The following is a 20,665-nucleotide window of genomic DNA, read 5'->3' as shown; positions in this document are numbered from 1 at the left end:
GCCCAAGAGTGTGATTTAAAAGCACCTGTCATATCAGGTCCCCTCTGCTGGTTTCCCACATCACTCAGGTAGAAGGCCAAAATTCCTACAGTGTCCGACAGGCCCTCTCTACCCAGCCCCCGCCCGCTGTGACCTTCTCTCCCCTACGAACCAAGACAAGCCGGCAGCCACCAGCAGCTGAAAAAGTCAAGAGAATGAATTTTCCCCCAGAGCCTCCAGAAGGAAGCAGCCCAGCCAGTACCTTGACTTTAGCCCGGTGAGGCTGAGTCCAGACTTCCGACGTCCAGGATGACAAGAGGAAACAGGTTTTATTTTGAGCTACCACGCTGGTGGGAATTTCTTACAGCAGCAACAAGAAACTCATGCCTCCGGCTTATAATACATTTCACTTATTTGTTTCTTGTTTATCGCCTCCAATAGAATGCAAGCTTAAAGAAGGCAGACACTCCCATCTGTTTTGTTGGTGATCATGTGCCTGCTGACTGTACAGCCCTGGCTCACAGTGGGTACTCCATGAAAACTGTGCGTTGTTCAGAAAAAGAAAAGGGACCTTAAACGTGTGAAAAGATGCTCAACCACACTCCAGATCTCAGAGATGAAAATTAAGATCAAGGGAGGCGCAGTGGCTCACGCCTGTAATCCCAGCACTTTGCGAGGCCGAGGCGGGTAGATCACCTCAGGTCAGGAGTTCAAGACCAGCCTGACCAACATGATGAAACCCCACCTCTATTAAAAATACAAAAATTAGCCGGACATGGTGGCTCATGCCTGTGATCCCAGCACCTTGGGAGGTCGAGGCGGGTGGATCACTTGAGGTCAGGAGTTCAAGACTAGCCTGGCCAACGTGGTGAAACCCCATCTGTACTAAAAATATAAAAAACTTAGGTGTTGAGGTGCGCACCTGTAATCCCAGCTACTCAGGAGTCTGAGGCAGAGAATCACTTGAACGCGGGAGGCGGAGGTTGCAGTGAGCTGAGACCACACCATTGCTCTCCAGCCTGGACAACAACAACTCAACTCCGCCTCATAAAAAAAAAAAAAAAAAAAAAACACGGAGAAACCATTTCTCATTTATCAGATTGACCCACCTACACTGTTGGCGAGGCTGTGGGGGACATGGGAGTCCTCAGGCTTTGTTGATAGGAATGTGTTATGAGCTACTGTGTCCCCTCCAAACAGAAATACGTGGAATGCTAATGTTAGGGGAACAGGAGCCTGGCAGAGCCAGAGTGATGTCATTTTAAGTTTGGCTCCATCTTGACACTAGCAAGGCACATTCCTTGCCAGTCACGACCCATGGTCCTGAGATGTTTGCGGTTGCGGAAGTGGCCTAAAGATGCCTGCGAGGACCTGCTCCTACAACAGAAAGTCCACAGGTCCCAATGCCCTTAGCCATATATTCGTTCGCAATAATTCAAGTTACGCTTTGGTGCACTCACACGCTGGAAGGTCGGGGATAGCTTTCTTTAAATCAATAAAGTAATAAACGTTATCATGTTATCAGCCCACCCGCACATAGGCACAGCTTAATTTAGTCTTTCTTTTTTTTGAGATGGAGTCTAGCTCTGTTGCCCAGGCTGGAGTGCAGTGGCATGATCTTGGCTCACTGCAACCTCTGCCTCCCAATTCAAGCGATTCTCCTGTCTCAGCCTCTGAGTAGCTGGGGTTACAGGCATGCACCACCATGCCTGTCTAATTTTTGTATTTTTAGTAGAGACGGGGTTTTGCCATGTTGGCCAGCCTGGTCTCAAACTCCTGACCTCAGGTGATCCGCCCACCTCAGCCTCCAAAAGTGTTGGGATTATAGGCATGAGCCACCGTGCCTGGCCCTAGTGTTTACAAAGATAAGACCCCTATATAAGAAAAACTGAAAACACAGGCGGTGTATTCCTTGGCTTGCTTTCTGTGGACAGACGCCCCCACTCTGTAAAGGAGCAGCTTTCAATAAACTCTCTTCTCACTACACTCTGCGACTAGGCTTGCGTTTCCTCCTGCACATGAGCCAAGGATCCTCTCTTAGAGACTGGATGGAGACCCCTTTTCCAGTTACACTAGCTCTTGGTACCTGTGACCCTATTTGGAAACAGGGCCTTTGCAGATGTAAGCAAGTTAGGATGAGCTCATTAGGAGGTGGGCTCCAAGCCAGTGCGACTTTCTTATAAGAGACACACAGGGAGAAGATGGCCATGGGACAATGGAGGCAGGGACTGGAGCGATGGATCTATAAGCCAAGGAATGCTGGGGGTCGCCCACCAACACCAGACGTTGGAAGGAGCAAGGAAGGAATTTCCCTACAAGCTCCTGAGCTTGTAGAGCACGGCCCTTGCCAGACCTTGATCTTGGACCTCTGACCTCTGTAAAACAATACATTTCGTGTGGTTTCAGCCGCCCAGGCTGTGGTCCTCTGTTATGAAAGCCCTAGGGAACTAACACAGAATGCAAAAGAAGATAGTCTCTGCCAGAGAAAATTTGGCAATCTCTAGTGAAGATAAAATGGAGGCACAAGACTGTATCCTGAACACCTTGTAATAACAAGATTGGAAGCCACTTCTGTGTCTATTCTTAGCTGACAGGTGAATAAATTATGGAACATCCTGGGCTGTTCTGTGCAGCAGTAAAAACAAGTAAAGACAACATCTACATCCCATCCCAGCAGGGTAACGGAGGCATATCGTAGGTGGAAAAGGAAAGACGGAAAACGGTGTGCAGAGCAGGCCAGCTTCATCTAAGAAAGGGGGCTGTGGATATAATTGTATGCAAATATGCACCCACACATATGTAATCACTTGCATTTTAAAATGTGGGAGAGTAAGTTTTGAAATCCTGTGGAATAGTTATCTGCGGTGAGAGGAAAAAGAGTGGAAGGGAAGGAGGAATGCTGGCTTTTTCTGCACCTGCCTTCTTGTGAATTACTGCAGGTAACTTTAAAACGCCATGTAGAGCTCGTGAGATTATATCCTATAGATCCCACTGCTGGAGAGAGGCTAAGTGATCTTACACTGGTTTTGGCAACTGTGCTAGTAGTCATGGTATTGTTGTCGGCCTTGTTGTTCTGAAAATACTACGGACGTGTGGGTGGAGTGTACACAGGTAGTGAGACATAGCAATTATGTATAAAGATGATGCATGTAAGAGAAAAAAGACACAGATATAAAATGGAATAAACCACATAGAAGCCAGTAATCCTACATTGGCATGGTAAATATTACAATGATGTTATGGTGTACTTTCCATAGTGTGTGTGTATTACTTCTGTTCACCAAAAAGGCCAAGAAACGATGACAAATTCAGTAACAATGAACATTCTCAGCACAGAGACTATGGTCTCTAAATACCATTTCCCCACCATAAGGACCCAGGGTTCTTTGGAGAAATGACTGGTCCAGTTTGGGACCAAGAAGTATCCAAGTTGAACCTGGAGCATCTTCTTGTGCCAAAATAAAGGATGCATTGAAGATAAGCATGCTTGTGCCAAAGGCACTAGGCCCTCCTCTCCACCCCTGCATGGGCAGTGAACACCCTTCCATATCAGTGTTTCTCCCCACACACTCCTTAACTTGCCTCAAGTCACACACACACACACACGCACGCACGCACGCACGCACGCACGCATTTTTTTTTCAAAACAACAAGCATCTTTTAAAAAAAAAAATCTCGTACGTGAGGCATCTTAATCCATCAATCTTTCATTGCACAATGTATTGTGTACCCGATCCTGAAAAGGGAACAGGGTCTGTGGCTTTGAGGAGGTCCCTGGAAGACAAACACGGAACAGGAAGATAGAGGAGGATTCCATGTGATTTTCGTATGTGCTATGCAGGCTCCGCCATCCTGGAGATTCTTGAGCTGAGAGACAGGGGAGACTTCCCAGAGAAGGTGGGAAGGGAAGAGAGGGATGAAGGAGGAGAGAGCCGCGGGACTCCAGCTCCGGTTTCTCCCCCTACATTGCATCGGGAATGCGGGGTCCTGAATGCATTATTTTACTCAGTGCTGTGTGGGCTAGATAAAAGGTGTCCACATGCTTCTGGGGCTCCACAGCGCAGGCAGATTTTCTGAAGGAATTTGTTATAAATAATTAATGTTGACTTCTTCGGTTTTATGTAATGAAAATATTTTTTGGTTTGTCCTCTTTTTATAACCTTGTTTGTTGGTATATGCCACAGAATTTTAAATTTATGCACATTCATATTTCCTTTTTTGATTTTTTAATCATACTTAAAATGAAATTCTGCACCATGAATGAAAGGAAATAACTTCTTAAGCTTTTCATCTTTAAAGAAATAATGCTAACCACCACTGCATGCACCTGGTCGCTCCTGCTCACTGCTGGGCTCCTGCTCACTACTGGTCTCCTGATCACCGCTGGGCTGTACTTCCTGGCAGACTTCCCATACGAAGCAGGTGCCAGGTGAGATGTTGGGTGATGGTTGAATAGGCATGTAACCTGAACAAATGGCATCCACAAATCCTGGGGTCTTTGCATAGTGTGGGGAACTCTCATCCTTATTTCGATTGGATTTTTTATGGGAATCCAGTCAAAGGATGCAGGAGGGTGCTGCACTGAGGGCTTGAACTCACCTTTCCAAACATAAGGTCAGTTTGGCTTCCAGATCTCAGAACTGGACGCCTGTGGAAAAGATGCCAGGTCAGAAGCATCCCCTGCTGGATTCTGGCAATGATCTTCCCTCTGGGGGAGCGACGTGGAGGAGCTGCCTCTGTGAGCTGTGGGCTCAGCTTCTGTCCCAGGTACTCACCTCCTGCGTGGTGGAGGCTGACAGAAAGCTTTCACCTGCTTGGAGTGATTGCTGTTCTCTTGGAAGATGCAAACCTGGGAAAACTCAGCTTTGGGGAACCTGGGTGCCTCATCGGAGAGTAGGGGCTGGCATAAATGTGAGAATTTGCCTGGGGATGGTGAATTTTGTGTCCATAGCAGAATATCTGAAAAAAAATGGACCGTCCAGTGTGCCTGAACTCATCAGACGGGCCCTGCCTGGCACTCTGCAAAGGCAGTTTCTGCTCACCCTGCACCTGGCGTTTGCAGAGAGGGAACCTTGAGGAGCTTCTCACTCCTCCCCAGTGTCTCGGCATCTCTCAGAGGAGCTGCTCAGCGGGGCCTCGGTGGCTGGTGGCTCGCATCAGAGATGAAGCCTGTGCTGAGCTGAGCATGCACCACTGGAGGCTGCAGGTCTGGGCCCAGCCGTGGCCAGCGGCCTTTCCGTGTTGCCCCACAGCCTGCAGGCATCGGGTGTGAGCGTGTCCTGGGGACTGCATTTCTGCAGGGTGCACCCTGCACTCCCTGCGCCTCACCTCTGGCTGCCACTTTGGGAATCACAGAAGGGAGGATGTTCTTGGACAGTGGCCTGGTCAGTATCCCTGGTAGCTCCCAGCTGGGTACACTCGTGCATGCATCCACCTGGAGCATAAGTGTCTGCTCTTTTGCCCAGGGGGCCCCAGAGCAGAGTGAAAATGTGGGGCCTCTGAAGACCTACCTTAGTCCGTTTGTGCTGCTACCAAGGAATAGTGAGGCTGGGTAATTCATCAAAGAAAAGAGGTTTACTGGACTCACAGTTCTGCAGGCTGTACAAGAAGCATGGTACCAGCATCTGCTTTGGGTAGAGGCCCCAGGAAGCCTCCACTCATGGTGAGAGGGGAAGGGGAGCAAGCGTGTTGCATGGCAGGGGAGGGAGCAAGAGAGAGGGAAGGGAGGTGTCAGGCTCTTTTAAACTGTCAGTTCTCCTGGGAATTCCTAGAGCAAGAACTCACCCATTACCTGGAGGGCAACACCAAGCCATTCACGAGGGACTCCCCGCACCCAGGACCCAAGCACCTCCCACCAGGCCCCACCTCCAACACTGAGGGTCAGATTTCAATCTGAGGCTTGGCAGGGCCAAACAAACCACAGAAAACTCTGTCCCAAGAAAGCCCCAAACATGACAATCTATCCATGCTGTCCTCAAGGAGCCCTGGGTGATCTCCATCCAATACAAAGAGCAGAGGCTGGAAACTGTGATGGTTCTCCCCGGAGCTCTCCTGGGAATAGTGGGTGTTTATAACATTGAGAAAATGATGCATTTCTTTTTCTGATAATGGAGTCCTGGGATAAGAATTGCTACATAAAGAAAAAGAAAAGCCACTAAGACCTGACTTCACTCTACCTGCCAGGCTTTGCTAGGAACGAAGATGGGCCCAGCTGAGGGCCACGTGCATGTCCTGTTTCCCTACTTGTGTACTTCCCAGGGGTTGCAGCCACGAGTTCACTGAGCTGTTTCTGGAGAGAGCCTGGGTGGGATCCTCCCAGCCCAGCCCCTGAGAACGTGGTGAAGCCGGTGCCCCTGCAAAGGCCGTGTGAGAAGGATCGGAGCCAGAAACATCGGAGGGACACAGTGTCCGTGGATTAGATCAGAGAGATGGATTAGATGTAGAGGAATATGGGGATCACGACCTGTGGGTCCGCGTCGGAGTCTGACTTCAGTTTGTAGGAACTGAAAATTGCTTCATAAGGGAGTAATAAAGATTTTTTTAAAAAACAACATTTTCAAAAGGACACAGCTTGAAGATGCTCCCACTAGTCAATGATGTGACAATTTGGGCATAAAAATAACAACTGTAATAGATTGAAACACATCAAATGTGCTGAAAATTCATGAGCTCATCACTAAGCTAAAGAAAGCCACACTGGTCCCCTGGGGTGGGCGCGGGGGCACCAACTCATCCTTCCGGAAACTGATAAATGCGAGGAAAAGCCAAGCACCCCTCTCCTTCCCCACAGGGACCGAGCCTTCGGGGGAAGCTTCTTTACACAAGTCCTCCAGCTCAGAAGCTCAGAGTGGAACCATGACAGCCGCCCTCCTTTGCAAACCACTGAGAGCTCCAGGAGGAAGGCTGCTGGGGTTTTATAACGACTGAGCGAGGGTGATGCCATCTCCCCCCATACAGAAAGGCAACAGGATGTCACATGCACCTCCCGAGGCAGTACAGTGGGAAGCGCCCACTCCACCCATGAAGGGCTCCTGCCTAAAAATCACGCCCCGCTCTCATCATGCCTCTAGGTCTAAGCACCTTACAGGAGGTCCAGGGGACAGAGAGACATTCAGACAGGAGATCCAGGGGACAGAGAGACGTTCAGATGACAGCACGGGTGCAGCCAGCCAGCTCCAGACTGCAGGACGCGCGAAGGGCAGATGACTCCATTCCTTCAACAACAACAAACGTCAAGAAAGAGAACTGGGGGAGGCTGTTGTCCTGGCCTCCTAGGGCAGCCAAAACAGATACCAGACTGGGCAGCTGAAACGGCAGACATTGCTTTCTTACAGTCTGTAGGCCGGGAAGTCCTGGATCTAGGTGCGCCTGGAGCAGTGCCTGGTACAGAGTCGGTTCTCAATAAGCATTATCCACAGTGGTCCAAGCACTGGCCATGTGGCTCTCTGTGTGGGTGGGGCTCTTCTGACCACCCTGCCCGTCTATCCCCTCTGCCTTCTGTGCCTGCTGGCTGCAGGCTGGTGCCATCTATGTAGTATAGCCTGGGGTATGATGGAACCCGTGAGGTTTGTGTTAATGGACCTGTGGTCTGAATTTAGATGAGCATCTCGGAATCCTGAGAGCTGGCCCTGCTCCCAGACCACCAGACTTCTTCTCCACTCCCAACTAGAATCCCCTCCTCAGCAGCCTGCCCCGCCCCCAGAGTCAGAGACCTTCCCTAGATGGGGGCGCAGCACCGCTCAGCCCTGAGGATTCATACTAGGATCAATCCAGACATGATGGGGGTTCCTTTGTGTGAGGCTGCAGCCAACCATCAGGGCTGCCAACGTCAGACTGGTCATCCCCAGAAAGGTGTGGGGGTACATAAGGAGCCTGGGCACTCTAGGCATGCAGCAAAGGGATCCAAGTGTACTGTGTGCACACACGTGTATATGTGTGTGCATGCACACCTGTGTGTGTGTGCACATGCCTGCACTGCATGAGTGTGCACGTGCATGTGTGTGCCTGTGCGCACGTGTCTGTGTGTGCATCTCCAGCCCTGCAATCCTTGCCTCCTCATTGTGCAGACACAAGGAGGTCAGCTCCCACATTGGGAATCAGCTTTGAGATTCTTCTGGTCCTTCTTGCACCATCTTTTCCTATGAAGGTCAGTTGGACAGATGTCTCAGCGATGCGTAGTACATGAGACAGCTGTGCCAAGCTCTTAGCCACAGCAGGTTTCCTTGTCCCACCCTCCTCCAGACACTCACGCTGGGTGTGTTTCAGCAGAGGTTTTGGCCACCTGGGGTGCGGGCCCCGAATGCTCGTTTCTGGAAGTTGCCCACCCCACACAAAGAGAATGGGGACAAGCGTATGTGGCGTTGCGGTATGACCTGCTCTAGAGACAGGTAGCATCCCTGTCTTCCCTCACAATGGTATCTTCCTCCACCTACACATAAACCTGCCTGGAGCAGGGCAGGTGGGGTACTAAGGCTGATTAATCCCAGGTACTGCAGGGTAGCAGGTTAATATACTCCAGGCAGATGGAAGCAAACTGGTTTGCAAATCAAGGTCAACTAATTCATTTATTGATCCAAGAGCTGCCTTTTACTTTCCCTTTTATCAAAGAGTCTTCTCTTCCTTTGTCCTAGAAAGTTAGCCCAGGGCCTCTCGGGAGGCCCAAACGGTGGATCCCACTCTGCTGACTCTCCTGCCCCCTGCCCCTGGTGTTTGCTTCCCTGGCCTCTGGCCCTGGTGTCCTTGTCATTGTCTGGCTTAGGTTGCTCAAAGCCCTAAGGTGAGTTTGCTCATCTTTTCTGCAACGTGGAGCTCCTGCTTCCCTTGCACCTCCCTTCCCAGGGCTCCTTCCTGAAGTATCCTCCCTGGACCATGCTGCCCAGGCCCCATGGCGGTCACATCATATGGCCTGGGCCCACCTGGAGGAGCCACCAGCCACTTTCCACAGTGACCTCCAGCTAGTCCTATATACACGCAGGTGTTCACTCACTCACTCATTTATTCATGGGTGTTCTCATCTGACAAGACAGCACTGAGGGCCTCTTTTGCAAGAAATGAAGGATCTTCACTTGGCCAGAAGCTGAGCCCTGGAGTGGCTGAGGGAACTGGCTTGGGGCATACCGGCCACTCCTGTGTGGGACAGAACACTCAGCCCCTCTGTCCTGATGGTTTTCATCTTTAAATGGGGTTAATAGCAAAATAAAAAGTTATTATTTTCCCATTTTAGGGAATAAAAGAGTCAATAAGATAATGTACAAAATGCAGACAGAGATATTAGGATAGCCAAAGGAAAAGATAAAGCGGAAAATAAATGTTGGCAAAGATGCGAAGAAACTGGAACCTTTGGGCACTGCTGATGGGAGTATAAGATGGCAGCTGCTCAAATAATTAAAAATAGTTGCCATGTGATTTGGCAATTCTGCTTTTTTTTTTTTTTGAGATGGAGTTTCACTCTTGTCGCCCAGGCTGGAGTACAATGGTGCAATCTCAGCTCACTGCCACCTCCACCTCCTGGGTTCAGACAATTCTCCTGCCTCAGCCTCCCAAGTAGCTAGGATTACAGGCACCCGCCACCATGCCTGGCTACTCTTTGTATTTTTAGTAGAGACGGGGTTTTGTCATGTTGGCCAGGCTGGTCTCGAACTCCTGACCTCAGGTGATCTGCCTGCCTCAGCCTCCAAAGTGCTGGGATGACAGGCGTGAGTCACCGCACCTGGCTGGCAATCCTGCTTTTGAGCGTATACCCAAGATGATTGAAAGCAGGATGACAGGCGTGAGCCACCACACCCGGCTGGTAATCCTGCTTTTGAGCGTATACCAGAGAGGATTGAAAGCGGGTCCCAAAGAGATATTTGTACATGCACATTTCTAGCAGCAGGACCCACAGCAGCCAAAGGTAGAAGCAACCCCAGCGTCCATCAGTGCGCGACGGATAAACAGAATGTGGTCCATCCCTACAATGGACCGTGGGCCTTGGAAGGGAAGGGAATTCTGATGCATACACTTCGACGCGAACAGACTGTGAAGACACCATGGTAAACCAATCCAGACACAAAAGGACAAATACTGCGCGACTCCCATTCTGCGAGGTGCCCAGAGTAGGCAGATTCACAGACACAGAAAGTAGAGAAGTGGGTGCCAGGGGCTGGGGAGAGGGGAATGGGGTCTTGTGTTTGATGGGACAGAGTGTTGGTTCGGAAAGATGAAGACGTTCTGGAGGTGGGTGGTGGTGATGGCTGCACAGCGATGTGAGTGTGTTTGGTGCCACGGAGCTGTACACTTAAAATGGCGAAGATGGTAGATTTATGTCATGTGCATTTTATCACAATTTTACAAAAAGCCAACATAGAGCCCAAGGGAGGGCAGGTGCTCAGTAAGCGACCGTCTTTTGAGATTCTGAGTGGTTCTTGCCAGAAGAGGACACGGGGCTTGTGCCCCAGGGATCTTCCACGAGACATGCAGTGTGGAAATTCAGGTGCAGCGGAGAGGAGAGGCAGGGGACGGGGTGGTGGGTGGGATCAGTGGAGAGAGTGATGGGGTGGCGGGTGGGATCAGTGGAGAGGGCGATCGGGTGGTGGGTGGGGTCAGCGGAGAGGAGAGGCAGGGGATGGGGTGGCGGGTGGGATCAGTGGAGAGGAGAGGCAGGGGACGGAGTGGCGGCTGGGATCAGCGGAGAGGGGGACGGGGTGGTGGGTGGGGTCAGCAGAGGGGAGAGGCAGGGGACAGGGTGGCGGGTGGGGTCAGCGGAAAGGGCAATGGGGTGGTGGGTGGGGTCAGTGGAGGGGAGAGGCAGGGGATGGGGTGGCGGGTGGGGTCAGCGGAGAGGGGGATGGGGTAGTGGGTGGGGTCAGTGGAGAAGGGGACGAAGTGGCGGGTGGGGTCAGCGGAGAGGACAGGCAGGGGACAGGGTGGCTGGGGGTGTCAGCAAAGAGGAGAGGCAGGGGATGGTGTGGTGGGTGGGGTCAGGTACTTCTCTGGGTGACAGTGGAAAGCTCCCTCCCTCCTGGGCCTTGGTTTTCTCAATCTGCAAATGGGGATAATGAGGGTGGCCACCTAGTATGTGCTGAGATTCAGTGAGTCCATGGGACACAGCCTCACTCTCGGCCACTATGGGGGTGGAAACAGGAGGAAGGAGTATATTCATGCTGGGCAGGCCAGGTAAGGCTGCCGGGGAGAGCAGGGGTGTGCATATGTGGGCAGGGGGGCCTTCCCGGCCGCGGGAGAAGCACCTTATGCTGTTCTGCCAAGACCACTTCGAAAAATAAATTCCTGTTTACTGCCACCTTCATTTCACACACTTCATATGGGCCAAATAAAGATGCTAATGCGTTAACAACCCAATTCCCAAGTAGCCTATCCTTTTTTACAAGGACCTTGTTCCTTTATGGCTCAGATTTGTCCCCAAGACATGACACACGCTGCTCTCACCTTCTCATTAATTCACCCCGCGAGCCGGCCCATCTCCAGAGCTCATGGACCACTGGACAAAAGGCCCGAGGCAGGGCAGAGCGGTGGGTGCTTTTAGGGTCTGGGGCTCTTCTGCTGCCGCTGAGCCTGTGCCATGGGGGCTGTTCTGGGCAGGGCGGGGCCAGGGCACCTGGGTCCCCATCGCCGACCTTCCTCACACGCCTTTCACTCTCGGAGACGCCTCTCCATGCTTGCAGATGGGCGGCTACCTCTCGCCTGCGCTGCCGGTTCCTGCTTACCTTGCCAGGAGAACCCTCAGCACTGCAGTTTCCAGAGGGCTGCACCCCCATCCTCTTAGCATCCCTGGACGGAAGCCCAGTGCTCTAATCTGTAAAAGGGGGACAAAGTGCACGCTCAGCAAACCTCATGGTGGGGGTGTTTGTATCCAAAATTGTGCTTCAGCCCCTGGCCTGGGGTCACGGGCTGAGCCAGAGCAGATGCACCCTGGAATCTGCCCCAGTCCTGAGCTTCTGCTGTGCGGCCCTTGCCCTGGGAGGGAAGGATAGTGGTGGGCGATAGTGGAGGGAGATAAAGAGCCTCGTCCACCAGCTCAGGAGGGGATGTGGGCCCTGTTTGGTGAAAAAAATCACCCACAAATAAAGATGAGGGAGCTCATAGGCTGGTGGGAGAGGCAGACATCCACTGAACTGCCACCTACTGACCTTGCGAATGCCATGGTGCAGTGTGGAAGGCAGCAGGGAGCCGAGGTTAAGACCCAATCTGGCTGGTAGGGCAGGAGCTGCTCTCACCTGGGCAGGAAGTCCCTTTCAGCAGGTGCAGGTGGCAGCAGAAAGGACTTCAAGACTGGAGAAGCCTGGGTCCCAGCAGGTGGTGAGCGCAGCAGCCCAAAAGACTTACCTGTGAGGGACACCAGAAGTGGGGTGGGATGCAGGCCTGTGTGGGACAGAACTCCCCAGGAATCTGTGCTCCCCCACACACTGACAACTGCCAGACGGAGGCTTTTAGTGTCAATTCCCGAGACAGAGAACCTGAATGGATGGTGGGCATGAGGGGAGCCTCGCAAGCTGAGCCAGGTCCCCGACCAGGGCGGGGGAGGAGGAGGAGGGGAAGGTTTGCTACCTGGAGGTTGCGAGATGCTGAGCTTGTTGGGGTGAGTTCCGGCCCAGGGCTCAGGGCTCAGGCCCTGCTGCCATCTATCCCTCCCTCCCAGGGCAAGGGCCGCACAGCAGAAGCTCAGGACTGGGGCAGATTCCAGGGTGCATCTGCTCTGGCTCAGCCTGCGAGCCCAGGCCAGTGGCTGAAGCACAGTTTTGGATACAAACACCCTTTAAGGCACAACATGGGTTTGAGGCTGGACAGCATGCACAAGCCCACGCTCATGGGTCACAGGCACCCACAGCTCCCCCATCTAGCCCCTCATCTAGACCCCATCTAACCCCCATCTAGTCCTCCATCTAGCCCCCATCTAACCCCCATCTAGCCCCCATCTAGCCCCCCATCTAATCCCCATCTAGCCCCCCATCTAGCCCCCCATCTAACCCCATCTAGCCCCCATCTAGTCCCCCATCTAGCCCCCATCTAGCCCCCATCTAACCCCCATCTAGCCCCCATCTAGCCCCCCATCTAACCCCCATCTAGCCCCCATCTAGCCCCCATCTAACCCCCATCTACCCCCATCTAGCCCCCACCTAGCCCCCATCTAGCCCCCATCTAACCCCCATCTAGCCCCCCATCTAGTCCCCCATCTAGCCCCCCAACTATCCCCCAATCTAGCCCCCCATCTAGCCCCTCATATAGTCCCCCCACCTAGTCCCCCTTCTAGCTCCCCAATCTAGCCCCCATCTAGTCCCCATCTAGCCCCCCTTCTAGCCCCCATCTAGACCCCTGTCTAGTCCCCCATCTAGTTCCCTATCTAGACCCCACATCTAATCCCCTACCTAGCCCCCCATCTGACCACCATCTAGCCCCCATCTAGTCCCTGATCTAGATCCCCTATCTAACTCCCACATCTAGCCACCCATCTAGACCCCATCTAGTCCCCCATCTAGCCCCGAATCTAGTCTCCCATCTAGCCCCCACTTCTAGCCCCCCAGTCTAGCCCCCCATCTAGCCCCCTGCTTCTAGCCCCCCATCTAGACCCCCCCGATCTAGATCCCTTTCTAGTCCCCCATCTAACCCCCTATTTAGCCCCCCATCTAGCCTCCCATAGTCCCCCATAGCCTCTCACAGCTCCCCATAGCCCCCCACAGCCCCCCATATTGCTGTAGGGTGTTTAGGCTGCTTCTACTTTTTCTCATTGTAACGACGATGCCGCGAGGGACAGCTTTGTGTCTGGCTGTGTGAGCCCATCCACCCTTGTTTACTAAGGACAGAGTTCTAGAAGCAGGGCTGCTGGGTTCCCCCCCGGGAGCTTGCAGGACTTTTCCTGCTAGCTACACATGCTGGCTGTGCATTTCCTTCCCAGAGCTACATCTAGGGGAGAAGAAGGGACATGCTAGAGCAGGAAGACCTTGTTTTCCTTTCTTGAGATGGTCCCCAAAGGGCAGTGGCCCTGAGAAGGGGCTTTGGTGAGGCTGGCAGGTGTCTCTGCAGCACCCAGCAGCTGGAGGCACCCTGCTCCCCCAGCCGGGTCCTTAGCATCTGGCGTGGCTGCCTGCTCCCAGGAGAGCCGCAGAGGGCGACCGAGGTAGCAGCGGCTGCATATTCATGAGGGCAGCGCGGCAGAGTCCGTGAAGCTCTGGCTGTCATATTTCGTGCTCATTTGCAGCTTCCAGTCAGGCTACAGCCTGCTGCATGCTCTGAAAGTTCCCTGAGATTCAGGGTGGGCAGCACCGGGCTCCAGTGTTTGGGGCATCTTCCCAACACTCCAGAGAGCTTGGCCAGGAAAGAGTGCAGGCACCCGGTACGGGGTTGCGGGGAGCAGGCCTGGGCTCCCCGCTGCAGAGGTGGCGCTGCTTAGCCCCCTGAGCCCACCCCGCAGCACCCCTCTCTGCCTCCAGTCCCCAGCAAAGCACTTTCCGGCCCCCAGTTTTCGGACCTCCCCCAGGCCTGCCTTGCTGGACAGTAGGGAAGCTGCCCCCAGTCCTAGCCTTTCTCTCCTCTACACCTATCCACACGTACTCAGCCCTGCCCTGCTCACCCTCCTGCAGGTATAAGCAGCCAGCAGCAGAGCAAGTCCACACCTGCTGTCACCAAGAACGGGCCTGTCCCAAGCTCTCCATGGTGGCCCACACCCCACCACATCAGGAGGAGGGGGCAGGGGCTGTGCCCACCCGTCGTACTTATGAGTAAAGCTGAGAGGCCCAACCCGCAGGGTGGGGGGGGGGTCTCAGTGGGTGACCAAGGGGCAGGTGGGTTCTGGGGGCATGTGAAGAAGTCCCTCTAACACAGACGACATCTAGCAGTCAAGGCAGCAGCGGCGCCGTGCGGAGCCTCCTGTCTGCTGGGTGAGCATACTGGACTTTCCGTGGGAACCTTCTGGGGAGAGTGTTGTGATTTAATGGTGGAATTTGGGGCACTGTCACAGGGTTAGAGAACAGGGTTAGAGTTTTTCGTGGAAAAGACCTGGTAGTGCTTTTCAAAGCACAGCCTGTTCCACGTTTGAATCCCATTTGCCCTGGGCAAAGCGGCTTGCAGCTGACCTCATCCCCAGAGATGGTGCGACAGGCAACATCTCACTCCTGCAGCCCCAGTGCATGGGGGACGCGGAAGCTCCTGCAAAAGATCACATGCAGAAATAGAGTCTTGTTCACTCAAAGGCTGTCAAAGCAAGAGTGTGTGGGGCTGGTGACACCCGCCGCCCTGCCTTCCGCATCTGCTGGAGGATTAGCACGCATGGGAAGGATGCACGGGGGATGGCTGGCCTGGCGCAGGATGATGGGGACAGAGGCTGCTGGCAGCAGGGCAGGAGCAGAGACACATAGCTGCACCCCTCCTTGTGGTTCTCGCTGAATCCTCTCGGGGGTGTGGGCATCCAGGAGAACCTCAGGAGGAGGCCAGCACTACAGCCAGATGTCCCCTGGTCCCTGCCAGTGTCTCGGGGCTCTGGCAGCTGCTCCCCTTAAATGGACACCAGGCTGGCTCGCAATGTAGCCGCAACATCATTGTGAGAAACAAACTCACCTCTTCAAACCCAAAGAATGGACTCAGAGACACGGAGAACAGCGGAAGAGAGACTTGCAAGATCGGGTGTCTGATGGGCAGGCACACCCAGCACAGTTTCAACAAGCAATTTATCCCCTAGTGCACAGTCCCCTCCCCCGGTTCCTCATAGGCTGTGTACTGTGGGGCCTCAATCTTCCTGGACGTCACCTATTGGTTGTCGGGCAGAGGCTTTAGGTGTTTTCTTTAGAGTTGTCTTGCTGCATTTTTTTTTTTTGAGACAGTGTCTCACTCTATTGCCCAGGCTGGAGTGCAGTGGTGTGATCTCTGCTCACTGCCACCTCTGCCTCCTGGGTTCAAGCAATTCTCCTGCCTCAGCCTCCCAAGTAGTTGGGATTACAGGCACCTGCCACTACACCCAGCTGAATTTTTGTGTTTTTAGTAGAGATGGGGTTTCGCCATGTTGGCCAGGCTGGTCTCAACCTTCTGACCTCAAGTGATCTGCCCACCTCGGCCTCCCAGAGTGCTGGGATTACGGGCATGAGCCACCACGCCCGCCCGTCTCGCTGCATTTTGTTGCAGCTCATAATACATTGCAATCATGATCAGCTCTGGGGCTGTTTAAGCATTTGACTTATGACCCAGCTAGTCAGGCAAGCTGATAAGAATAGATAAAGTGAGCTACTTTGCAGGCTAGTAAACTTTCATTTTAGACTAAACTTTTTGGTTTGGGTGAGGGTAACTAAGGGGTCCCGACAAGCAGGCGCCAGGTACTTAGGCAGGGGCTTAGTGTACCTTGTTCTTTTGTAGTCTGAGCACCCAAGCCTCTCTGAGGCATTCTAATTTGAAAATGGACCACCATATACATCATTTTCTACAAACATGACTGATGGGACACTGGCCGGCCACTGGCCGAGAGTCCATCAAACAAGCTCTGGCCCATCAGCCCCAAGAGGCAAGCTCTGCCCAGCCCACATGCTGGGATTGAAAGGGCCGTGGGGTAGCTGCAGCATCCACTGGTTACTGGGCCTGTCCAAGTGGCATCAGATCAGGGACAGGCCTGTGCTCTCCGGAAGGAAGTCTCTATGCTCAGCCCACACTTAAGGGGTGGGGAGATTTGAGTCACCTCCATGAGGGCATAAATTATGGAATGCCTCTGCATGGGAAAGATCTCTTCTTCCTCATTTATTGATTGACTCCGTCACTCATTTATAACCAGATGGACTCATGGACATTTATTCTATACCTTAGGTTATACTCTGATACTACTTTACTTTGCGGTTCCAATTTTTCCACCTGTGGCCATTGGGACCCCCTGCAGCTGGCTCCTGTGCCCCTGTGACATGTCCCTGCCTTTGCGAACTTTTCTTTTTTGGGGCACTGCGTTACCTTATGGCACCACAAGTCTATGCCCCACTCTCATCTTGCCCCAGTTCTAGAAGCAGCCATTTCTCCAAGAAGCCCTGGTTCTCTAATTGGAAAATGGTGCTAGAAACCAAGATCTGGGTGCTGGGGGTGCTGTCGTTACTGGGGGTGTGGTTGCTCCTTGGCCTTCTCAGCTGACAGAGAAAAGGTGTGTGTGTGTGTGTGTGTGTGTGTGTGTGTGTGTGTGTCAGCGGCAAGGATGCCTGGACATGGTGTGAACCTGACCCCAGTGGTCTTATGAGCTCTAGGACCATGGGCCAGTACTTAGCCTGCCAGTCGTGTAGTTAATTTCACTGTGTCAGGCCGAGTTCTACGGATTTCGACAAATTGATAGTCATGTATCCACCAACACAGATCCATAATAGAACAGAAAATTCCCCCCAGATTCCCTTGTGCTGACCTTTTGTAGTCAATCTCTCTTCATCGCAACTCCTGGCAACCCTGTCTCTGCTTTCCATCTCTATAATTCTGCCTTTCCTGGGATTTCCTATGTATGGAGTCATACAGTATACAGCCTTTGAGGCCTGTCTTCCCTCCTTTGGGGCTGAGCTCTAGCAGCATAGAGTGCCTGCCCTCATGGTGTTGCATTAATAATGCTTTGCTCCTTTTCCTCTTGGAGTACTTCTCCCCCGTACTTTGCTCCTTTTCCTTGTGGAGTACTTCTCCCCCATACTTTGCTCCTTTTCCTTGTGGAGTTCTTCTCCCCCGTACTTTGCTCCTTTTCCTTGTGGAGTTCTTCTCCCCCGTACTTTGCTCCTTTTCCTTGTGGAGTACTTCTCCCCCATATGGAAGCCCCAAGGTTGTTTTATCCATGCCACACCCGTATCTACGTGTTTTCAGTTTTTGATCACTGGGTCTTTCCCAGTGGCCCCAGATCAGGGCAGGCCTGTGCTTTCTGGAAGAAAGTCACTGTGTTTGTAAATAAAGCTTCTGTAATTGTTTGCATGCATATTTTTCGGTGACTGTAGGTTTTCAGTTCATTTAGATAAGTATCTAGGAGTGGGATGGCTGGGTCATATAATCGTAAGGGTGTGTTTGACTTCAAAAGAAATGGCCACACGTTTCCAAAGGGGCTAGAGCTTTTTGCATCCCACAGCAGTGTATGAAAGGTCCAGTTGCTGTGCCTCTTTGCCAGCACTTAGCATTGTCAGTTTTTTTAAAATATCGGCCCTTGTAATTAATGTGAAATGGCATCTCATCATGGCTTTAACTTTCATTTCCCTAATGATTCATGATGTTGAGGGTGTACTAGAGGCTTATTCACTATCTACATGTCTTCTTTTGTTGAATTTCTTTATTAGATTTTTGTTTTCTTGTGGTTGAATTTTGAAATTTCTTTAATATTTTAGACACAAGGTCGTGCTTACCTTGCTCTCAGTATTAAGGGAAAAAAATTCAGAATTTCACCAGTAAAGTGTGACGTTAGCTGTAAGATTTTTGTAGACGGCTTTTATAAAGTTAAGAAAATTTCTTTCTACACTAGTTTACTGAAAGATCTTATCATGAATCAATAATGAAGTTTACAAAATACTTTTTCTGCAACTATTGCAATGATTCTATGTTTTTTCTTCTTTAATGTGTGAACATGGTAAATCATATTGATTGGCTTTTCAAATATTAAACCATCCTTGCTGAGCCCCACTGAATCACAGCATGTTAACTTTTTAACATATTGCTGGATTAAAATTGTCAATATTTTTGAGAATTTTTGCGTCTCTGTGTATTACAAATATTGGTCTGTAGTTTTTTTTTTTCTTGTAATGTCTTTGTCTTACTTTGACATTAGAATAATGCTGGCCTCAAAAAATGAGTTGGGGAGTATTTTCTCTTTTTCTATATTCTGGAAGAAATTGTGTAGAATTGGTATTATTTATTCCTTAAATGTTACGACAATTTACCGGTAAAATCATTTGGGCTGTAGGTTTTATTTTAAGGGATACTTTAAACTATTAATTCAATTTTTCGATTTGATATAGGACTGTTCTAGTTATCTATTATTCTTGAGTAAGTTTAATACTTTTTCAACTTCCAAGAAATTGGTTCACTTTATCTATGTAATCAAATTAATAGGCAGAGAGTTGTTCATAGCATTCTCTTGTCATCCTTTTAATATGTATAATCAGTAGTGATAATGCTTCTTTCATTCTGGATATTTATGTGTGTCCTATCTCTCACCTTGTTGGTGTGGCCAGAGGTTTATCAATTCTGTCAATATTTTCAAAGAACCAGCACTTCGGGAGGCCAAGGCAGGCAGATCACTAGGTCAGGAGATCGAGACCATCCTGGCTAACATGGTAAAACCCCATCTCTACTAAAAATACAAAAAATTAGCCGGGCATGGTGGCGGGTGCCTGTAGTCCCAGTCACTTGGGAGGCTGAGGCAGGAGAATGGCATGAAATCGGGAGACGGAGCTTGCAGTGAGCCAAGATGGTGCCACGGCACTCCAGCCGGGGAGACAGAGCGAGACTCCATCTCAAAAAAAAAAAATAAAGAATCAAGTTTTGACTTAATAGATTTTTCTCTTTGGTTGTATTGATTTCTACTCTTATTGCTATTATTTCCTTCTTCCTGCTTGCTTTGGGTTTACTTTGCTCTTCTTTCTCTAGATTTTTAAAGTAGAAGCTCAGATTACTGATTTGGGACCTTCCTTTTCTAGCAGAAGCATTTAAAGCTATACGTTTTCCTGTAAGCACTGCCTTAGCTGCGTCCCACCAATTTTGACACAATGTATTTTTACTTTCATTCAGTTCAAAATATTTTTAAATTTACCTTGAGATTTCTCCTTTGACTCATATGTCCTTTGGAAAGATGTTATTTAATTCCTAATACTTGTGGATTTTCCACATATATTTCTTTTGTTGATTTTCATTTTAAGACTGTGGTATGTGAACACACTTTATATGATTTGTATTCTAAATTTCAGATTTGTTTTGTGGCTCATAATCTGGTCTGTCTTAGGGAAGCTTCCACGTACCCTTAAGAACATGTATTCTGTTGACGTTGGGTAGAGTGTACCAGAGATGCCAGGTGGGCCAAGTTGGCTGACGGTGTTGTTCAGGTCATCCACATCCTCACGGATTTTCTGCCAAGTACTGAGAGAGAATCGTTTACATCTCCAACAGTAATTATGGATTTGTCTAGTTCACTTTTCAGCTCTCTCATTTTTTGCTTCAGGTGTTTTGAAGCTGTGTTATTAAGTATATCTTTTAGATTTGTATGTCTCCTTGAAAAATCAAGTCTTTTATGGTGATGTAATGTTGCCTTTATCCCTGACAATTCTCCTTCTCGTGTCTCCTTCGTCTGATGTTAACATAGCTGCTCCGGCTGTACCTGGGCCGGCTCCCAAGAAGCTTCCATTCTTACACTCCCCAGTGGATTTTTGTGCACATTTTAAGTGTGAGAACCAGGGCCATCGGCATCATAAGCTCAGTGAGTGGAGATGGTGTCTTCTTTATTGAACCCCGTAGGAGGCACGAAGCCAGGCACAGACGTGATGTCAGGAGCTCGAAGATCTCCCGACAGGTGCCTGCCTTCCCCTTCTTGTCCCCATGGTCCATCCCCTTCGCCTCTGTCCACGTGGCTGTCCGAATTAGCATCCCGCATCACCTTGCTGGACTCCAGCCCACCTCTTCAGCTTCCTCTCTCCCCTCCCACCTTTGCTTCCTTGACTGGACATTTTTCCTTCTGGTCCATGGAGAGGCAGCACCCAACACTGTGCACCTCCAAGGTCCTCCT

At 50.9% G+C, this 20,665-nt stretch overlaps 1 annotated feature.

Moving 5' to 3' along the window:
• Window positions 14,770–15,270: an enhancer, noted in NCBI's record as "H3K4me1 hESC enhancer chr9:137921403-137921903 (GRCh37/hg19 assembly coordinates)". NCBI's record gives its function as "activates a minimal SCP1, AML or CMV promoter by ChIP-STARR-seq in primed H9 embryonic stem cells {active_cell/tissue: H9 hESC(primed)}" and the evidence as "EXISTENCE:reporter gene assay evidence [ECO:0000049][PMID:30033119]".

This window comes from Homo sapiens, chromosome 9 (assembly GCF_000001405.40).
Source record: "Homo sapiens chromosome 9, GRCh38.p14 Primary Assembly".
NCBI lineage: Eukaryota > Metazoa > Chordata > Mammalia > Primates > Hominidae > Homo > Homo sapiens.
Note: the sequence above shows the minus strand (reverse complement) of the source record. Positions and strands in the feature narration are given on the sequence as shown.